This window comes from Homo sapiens, chromosome X (genome assembly GCF_000001405.40).
Source record: "Homo sapiens chromosome X, GRCh38.p14 Primary Assembly".
Classification (NCBI taxonomy): domain Eukaryota; kingdom Metazoa; phylum Chordata; class Mammalia; order Primates; family Hominidae; genus Homo; species Homo sapiens.
In genome coordinates, this window is record NC_000023.11 from 17,853,973 (window position 1) to 17,861,915 (window position 7,943).

At 51.8% G+C, this 7,943-nt stretch overlaps 1 protein-coding gene across 11 annotated transcripts in view; it reads right to left on the minus strand.

Moving 5' to 3' along the window:
* RAI2 (retinoic acid induced 2) overlaps nt 1-7,326 on the minus strand; it is a 61,250-nt gene extending 53,924 nt beyond the window's left edge. For 6 of the 11 annotated variants that reach the window (NM_001172732.2, NM_021785.6, XM_006724460.2 and 3 more), the window contains exon 1: nt 7,126-7,326. The gene's annotated coding sequence lies outside the window, so the exon portion shown is untranslated. Of the gene's footprint in view, nt 1-6,536; nt 6,934-7,125 lie in introns of those variants that run through there. The other 5 variants (NR_033349.2, NR_033348.2, XM_011545441.3 and 2 more) reach the window with 1 other exon arrangement.

Genomic DNA, 7,943 nt, shown 5'->3' on the forward strand with positions numbered 1-7,943 from the left:
AAAAAAACTAAAACAAGGAAATGCTATTCTTTCCCGTTTTTTGCTAGCTGGGCACACACTTCTGAGCATGAGGCATTAAAAAACAAACAGGCAGACAAAAACCTTATTTTTTTAAAAAGACATATTTTTCCAGAGCACAAAAAGCTTCCTGAATCTTTCCTTGTATTTACTGTAGATTCAATCATTCCTTAGTGAGCAAAACATGCAGCCCATTCTCTTGGTTATGCTTGCCTGGCTTTCCAAATGCCCTCAAAACTAGGATGATGAATCACATACTTTGGCCCCATTGTGCCAATTAATAGTAAGCAAAAGAATTCCACACGGCCAAGATAGGACTTTCTGCCTGGTTGTGCATACGGGGGTGGGGAGGGATTCTTCAGCCAATTGCTTTCAGAGAATCTTAAGAACAGGTGTTTCAGTTCCCTAAAATTCCTTTCATCCTAGAACATTCTATGTGGTTCTGCAGTGCCCCCACTTTGGGGATGGGCTTTGATCAGGAAAAACCTATGTTCATACAGTCAGCCTGGAGCTTCCAGGCTTAAAGCACGAAGGAAAGAATGGCTGACAGCTACACCATTTCAACCCTTCCAGGCCTCCATTTCTTTCTCTGAATTATAAGGGAAAAGTGGCCATACACACAAAGGCAAAAATAACAACAACAATAAAAACGCCCAAACACACCCAGTCTTGGCTGCCAGCACGGCCCGATTCTGCTGCTGAAAAAGAACAGTTGCTACAGTGCAGCTGGAGGAGCTTTTCCAGGGAACTGGTAATACCCTGGCTGTTAATGAATTATTTTTCGCCAGAATGTCGGATTCTTCCTGTGCTCCAGTAAACAGTCTGCTTCTGCCATGTGAAACAAAACCAACTCCTTCTGAGGAGCCCAAGGGGGTCAGCCAAGGGTCCCCTGTGAGGGCAGCCCCCTCAGGAGCCAGAGCCACAGGCGCCTGACCTGTAAATCACTGCAGTCCCAAGTTCATTATCCCATCCCTTTCCGTCTATTTATGCCATGACCAGTGCCTAGGGAAGGACCCAGAAATGATGTGATGTGATGATACCATAGTGCCAGCCAAAATCCTTCTTCTACCTCCCTGAACTCTCCTTTGGCCAGGTTTCTTCATCTGCTGTGCTATGGTTGTGTGAAATTGACCTTCCTTGCATTTATTCTGTCTCCCTCGCAGAAATTTTATTTATGTCCTTGCTCTTGTTCTCATCAAGCTGTCAGGAAATGACAGTGTGCATTCTCTTTTTTATTTTCTCTCCTTTAAGGCTGGCCCTGGCCCTAAATAACCCACTGTCAGCATGAGGGTGTCTACTGGCGACATTACTCTCCAAGCACAAATCCCTGGGATGGATAGTACTTTAAGCTGCTACTAGAGCAGGTGTCAAGGAATTCTCCGATGGACAAGGACACCGGCCTGTGGGGTGGGTGGGGTCGAGGAAAGGAAAGAGCCATTTCATTCAAGCCAGTCCTGCCTGTGCCCATTCTATTGGGTTTCTGGGTCCCACATTCCTCATAGAGCATGAGACTGAGCCAACATGCTCATGGCTAGTTTCCACGGGGAACCTCCATCATGGCACCTGAGCTACTGAAAATCAAAATCGCTTGATGCCAGGCTGCTGTGGCTACTGACTCAGCCCCCTGCCTCCCACCTGCCATCGAGATGGAGAGCGTTTATGTCCCCAGAACATCTGGAGGCTGAAGTCACGAGGTTGGTTAGTTTGCTCCAGAGCAGCTCTGTCTAATAGAAATGTTTATGTAATTTAAATTTTTTTTGTAGTCACATTTAAAAAAATAAAAGAAGCCACTAATTTTAATACTCTATCATATTTAACTAATATATTCAAAATATTATCATTTTACCATGTAATCAATGCAAAGCTTATTAATGAGCTATTTTGGATTCTTTTTTTGTATTAAGTCACAGAAATCCCATGCATCTGTTATATTTAATGCACATCCTAATTTGGACCAACCACTTTTCAAGCACTCTATGGCTGCATGTGGCTAGTGGCTAGTGTGTGGGACAGTGCAAACATGTGACATTTCCATCATCATAGAAAGTTTTATTAGACAGTGCTGTGCTGGAAGACCAAAAAGTTGTGGGAAGAGGAGTGACAGGTGTGAGCAGAGTGTGCTCCAAAGTTCTCTAGAATTACTGAGTTGTTGGAGCTAATTACAGCAGAAATTGGAATTACAAGGATTGGGATGTTCAAGGAGCCCAGCCCTATGTCTCAGTAGAGATTAAAATGGGCTTTTATGAAAGGCCCTGGGACCATGCATAGTCTGAATGTGTCTGTCCCCTCCAAACTCCTGTGTTGAAATCCTAATCCCCAACGTGATGGTATTAAGAGGTGGGGCATTTGGTTGGTGATTAGGTCGTGAGAGTGGAGCCTTCATGAATGGGATGAGTGCCCTTGTAAAAGAAGCCCCAGAGAGGTCACTTGCCCCTTCTACCATGTGAGGGCACAGCAAGAAGATGCCATCTCTGAACCAGGAAAAAAGCCCTCACCAGACACTGAATCTGCCGGTATCTTGATCTTTGACTTCCCATCCTCCAGAACGGTGAGAAATATGTTTCTATCATTTATAAGTCACCCAGCCTATGGGATTTTGTTATAGCAGCCCAGACGGATGAAGGCAGACCATGCCCATGTTTTGCGGTGCTGCCCCACAGCAGTGGGAAGGCCAGCAAGTATGATCATGGCTCAAGACATCTGCTGGCTAAGCTGCCTCCATCTTAGCTGTTCTGGTCTGTTCAGGGCAGGGGCTGGGAGAGAACACCAAAGTCACATACTTCTTCCAATAACAATTCTGGGTTTGAATCTAATTTGGTGAAGCAGATACAGAAACGTGATCAAATTATGTGTGCCTGTGTCTGTGTGTGCATGTGTGTTCGTGTGTGTGTTCTTGGCAGGAGAGAGGAGGGTCATGTGTGAACTCCAGAAGTACTAACCTGGCCGCCAAAATCAGCTTCTCACCAGCTGCCATCAGAGGACAGTGAAGTGGCAGACTCAAGAGGCTCATCAACATTGTGAGCCATGAAGGAAAGGCTTTGAGTCTGGAAAGAATGAGATGATGGGCACCCGGGCAGACGATCAGGTGGGAGGGAGAAGTGGTAATCAGAGGCATTCTCCAAAGACAAGAGCTGCCAACTCTACAGCAAGGATGTCACCCTGATCCCCAAATCAAGCTTAATTCAGAATCCCACGCAGGCTTTTGTGTGTGGGAAGAGTGCAATTAGCCATCTTTCCCCCTCATTCTCTGAGGTCTCCCTCATATTCTGTTCAGGGAGGCAGCATTGAGGAGCTCCTCATACATAGATTCAAAGCCCAGCTCCCTCGGTGGCTCCAGAATTTCTAGGAGTTTGAAGACTACCACCTGGTTGGAAGGGGGCTACGGGGCTTGCTTTAACGATACATTTGCATAGCAAGTTCCCTCCTCATTTTCCTATAGAGTGTTTGTTTATTTGAGACAGTTTCTAGTTAAAAATACCTCACCCAGCCTTTGGTCCCTCGTGGACTTTGAGTTAGTTGCTTAACCTTTCTGAGCCTTAGTTTCCTCACCTACAAGATGGGAATAATCTTGCCCATCTCCCATGGATTTTGTAAAGATTAAACTGGGGCTTGTCAGCATGGAGCTACCAAGGGCTAAAACTGGAATATGACACCAGGAACTTCAGGCCCCCAACCAAACGTACAAATCTCTGGATCTCTCCTTGCTGGGTCTCCCTTAACAATGATCTACAGCCCCCTCCCCACTGCCATTCACTCCATCAGTGCCATCATTTAGTCACTCAACTCTCATTTATTAAGCAACAGTTGGGTGGTGGGGACTCCAAGATGAAAGGGTACAGTCTGTCCATCTGACACAGGGTATTTCGGATCTATCTACTTGGCACATAAGTATGCACTGTGGGTGACTGGGTTGCCCACTGGTGGGCTTCCACCTTCCCCCCAATCCCCACCAACTGTGTACCAGATTTTGCCAAGGTGGAGGGGCTGAAAGATCCAGCAGGAAGAGATCCAGAGATTTGTATGTTTGGTTAGGGGCCTGGAGTTCCTGGTGTCATACTCCAGTTTTAGTCCTTCGTGGTTCCATGCTGACGTGTCCCACTTTAATCTTTACAACGTCTATGTGAGATGGGAAAGATTATTCCCATCTTGTAGGTAAGGAAACTGAGGTTCAGACAGGTTAAGAGAAATAAATAAGAGACCTGGAGCAGGGGAATAGGGACATGTTGCCCCTTTAAATCATAACCACCAAAGTCTGAAATCAGATACACAACTGGAAATTTATCTGAGCCTCAGATTCCTTATCTGTAAAATAATTCTTCCATCACAGGGTGGCTGAGAAGGTTTACCACATGTGAAGTGCCTAGCAGACAGAGGCCAACAATACATGTTAGTTCCCTTCCCAATTTATTTCCCTCCACTACCATCCTCTCCAAAATTCTAAGCTTAGGGGAGAAGCCAGAGAACAGACGTTTCCTATTTTCTTATCATAAATTTGGAGCACGCTGTGCAGGGCTTTCTGCACATCCAGAGTATCTCCATTCTGGATCAATGGATTTGGGAGGCCAGTCCTATCCTCAGCTTCTGGGTCATTACAGCTAGAGCACTCCCAGCAACAGCTCCTCACACACCTTCCAGTCTTTGATTTTTCTTTCTTGTAGTTCAGATGGTCCTGTTTCAGGGACTCTGTATTCTGGATACAAGATTTTGAAATGTGTCTTACAGTTCTTCCCCAGCTGCCCACCAAACCGTGTTCTCACCCCAGCGATCGGCATCGCTTGGAAAACTGTCTTTTCATTTGTTCCTCAGATGAACAGGTTTTCCTGGGCAAAACATCACCACTGGAGGTCTTGGCTTTTTTTCATCATAAAGGAACCCCCTCGGGTGGCTGAATGGTCCCCTGGGCTGGTGCCAAAGTAGTCACTACCCCCAAGTTCCAGTCTGACTTGGTTCATAGTGCCTGGGCTGCCCTGGGGATGCCTCTAGTGGGCATCTGTCAGGACGAGAAGCGAGTGCCCATTTGAAGGAGACTGTGTGTATGTGGGGGTGTGGGGGCAGGTGGCTTCTCTGGGCTTGTAAGAGGCAGAGAAACTGGGATGCCACCATCTTACAATTCTCTGCCTTCCAGCCCACCCCTGGCTTCTCATGTTCCCGTTTGAGAAGAAAACTAGCCTCCATACTGTCCCCTTCCGTATTGTCCCCCTCCCACCTTGCCACCCCTCTACTGTAACAAAGGCATGTCCACACCACATTTTCAAAGTTGTCACAAGTCTCTCGGTCCACCAACAACCAATTCTGATGACTCCAAAGGAGCAAGAGAGACATCCAGAAAACGGTGGGAAAGATTCCCTGGGAAAAGCACAGAAAACCTTGCCTGATGCTTGCAAGGCTAAGAATTGTTTTCTCCCTGCTGGCTGCTTTTCTCTCTGTTCTAAAGAGAAGCTTCCAAGAATCAGTTAAATAAAGGGATCACACCAGAGGATGCGAGATAATGCTAAACCAACAAAAACAAAGACCCAAATGAAACAGACAGAGCCATGAGAATACGCGGTTATCAAAACTTTGTTTGGCCATATCTATTTATCATCGCTGCACACCCGGGCTCTGCGGAATATCATTCTGTTGATGTCACTTATCCTCAGCAAAATATTTACACATCCTTAAAAACGCCAGATGAGGGGGGCCGGCCCGCGCACTGCCGCAAGCCGCCCCTCAAACCCCATCGCTGGGTTCTGAACAGCCCACGACATAGGGGCACGACGGTGGGTGGCACCAGCGGGCACAGGTGAGAGCTACCAACAGTTCCGGGAACACGGTCACCCAGACGCTGCGCCGTGCCCTCCCCACCTCTCCCCTACCTGACTCTGCAAGCAGCAGCCACATACCCGATATGGTGTCGGCGCCTCCTTGTCCTCCTCTCCTGCCTTTTTCATTGATTAAGTTCTCAAACCATTGTTAAAGCTGGGTTGCTTTTTCCTTGGAAAACTGGGCTAAATTCATTAAGCTTCCCTCTGCCACAAAAGGAATATTCATAAAAGTTTGGCAGGCAGAAAGGGAGACTGAGTGAGTGCCATGGTGTGGGTAACAACCCGCTCCTCCAAAGCCACCTTCTTCTTCCGTGCCCCATCCCTCTCTCCATCCATCCGTCGTGCCCCAAACCTACTCCAAGGACTTCTGATAGGGAAACACAAAGCAGCAGCTGTTTGGCAACATTTCTACCCCTCGCCAGCAACTGTGGTGGGATGCCATTTCCCCACCCAGGCGGAGCTTATCCTGAACAATAGTCGGGCTTTAAATGGCAAACAAGCAAACACACAGAGCACAACCCCAACCCCGAAAAAGCCACCGCGGAGAGAAGCAATAACTCCCTCCGCAGCAAAAGGCGCCACTGAAACGCACGCAAAAATGCAGCGAGAACGTTGCTCGGTGCCTAACATGGCAGAAAGCCCGAGCTGGTGCGGCCACCCCGGGGCTGGGCATTGGGGGGCACCGGGGCTCCCGGGGCGCCGACGCACACTCACCCGGCTCCGGGGGGGATGCGGGGCTGGCCGCGCGTCACAAAGAGGAGCCCGGCGCAATCTGGCAAAACCCAACTTTCCACCAGGCTCGCCAGGGCCGCCAGATACGTCAACAGAATCCATCTTTCGAAGGGCCTGGAAGGCGCCGGGTTTTCCGGGCCGGGGCAGAACGGCAGATCCGGAGACTGCCCGGTGCGGTGCCTGGGCGCGGAGTCCGCCGTGCACCGCCCTCTGCGCCCGATGCCAGTGCGGGCGGCGGCCCGAAACCCACTTCGGGGCCCCCGCCCCGCCGGCCGGCGCCGCCTCCCCGGCAGTCCCCGGCCCCGCCGGCCAGTGCGCGGCGCCGGGAACGGGAGCGGGGCCCCGGCGCGCCACACGGGCGGCGGCCTCGGCCCGCGTCCCCGCCCCCGCCCGGCCCTCCCAGCCGGCCCCGGCCTCCGGGCGCCGTCCTGCCCCCGGGAGCAGGCCCCTCCCCGGGCGCCGGGCCCCGCCAGGCGCGCCCAGCCCGGCGCGCCCCCTGCGTCCCGGTGGCAGCTCCGCGCGGGGAGGGCGGGGGTGACCCCGGCCCGCACGGGGGCGCCGCGGCCACTACCTCGCAATCGCGGCCGCCGCCTCCAGGAAGCCGCGGGGTGGTCGAGTGTGCTGGAACTCTCCGGTCTGGCCTCGCCGCCGGCCGCCTGAAGGGGGTGCGCCGCGGTGGGAGCCGCCGTCGCCGCTGTCACCGAGTCGCTGTCGCCGCCGCCGCTGCTGGTTGTGCGTGAGCGTGTGTGCGCCTGTGTCCTGGCGAGTGTGTGTCTGCGTGCGGCGCCCGGCCTTTACTATATACACCAAGGGGTGGGAGGAGGCGGGGAAGGGGAGGGCTTGGGGGAGGCGGCGGAGGAGGGGGAGCAGGAGGGGGGCGAAAGGGTACCCGAGGAGGCGGCGGCGGAGGAGGGACAGGTGATCTCGCCCACGGGGAGGGCGTGGCCGTGGGCGGCGCGGGGTGCCAGGAAGAAGGGGTGTCGGGGCGGGGAGGAGGACCTTGGGGGGAGCGCCGGGGGAGGGCCGGAGGAGCTGGGACCCTACTGCCTCCCGGCGGGCTGGGGACCATTCCAGACCCCAGGATGGAGAAGAGCGAGGAACAGAGCCCAGAAGGGAGGAAGTGGCTGGCTGATGGAAGCGGGGGAGGTGGGAAGGGCTCAGCGATCACCCGAAAATGCCAATTGTGATACCGGTGGAGGATGCTTCTCACAAGGTGGGAGATTAGGAAAGATCAAATTAGTCCACCTACGTAATGTAATTTCCATCCAAGAGGTGATTCATGTATCAATCTAACCTTTATTAAGCGCCTAGTGTTTGCCAGATACTGGGCAAAGAACTGGAGTTACAGGGACGGTGACTGTATGATTGCTGACCAGTAAATAAGTAGTA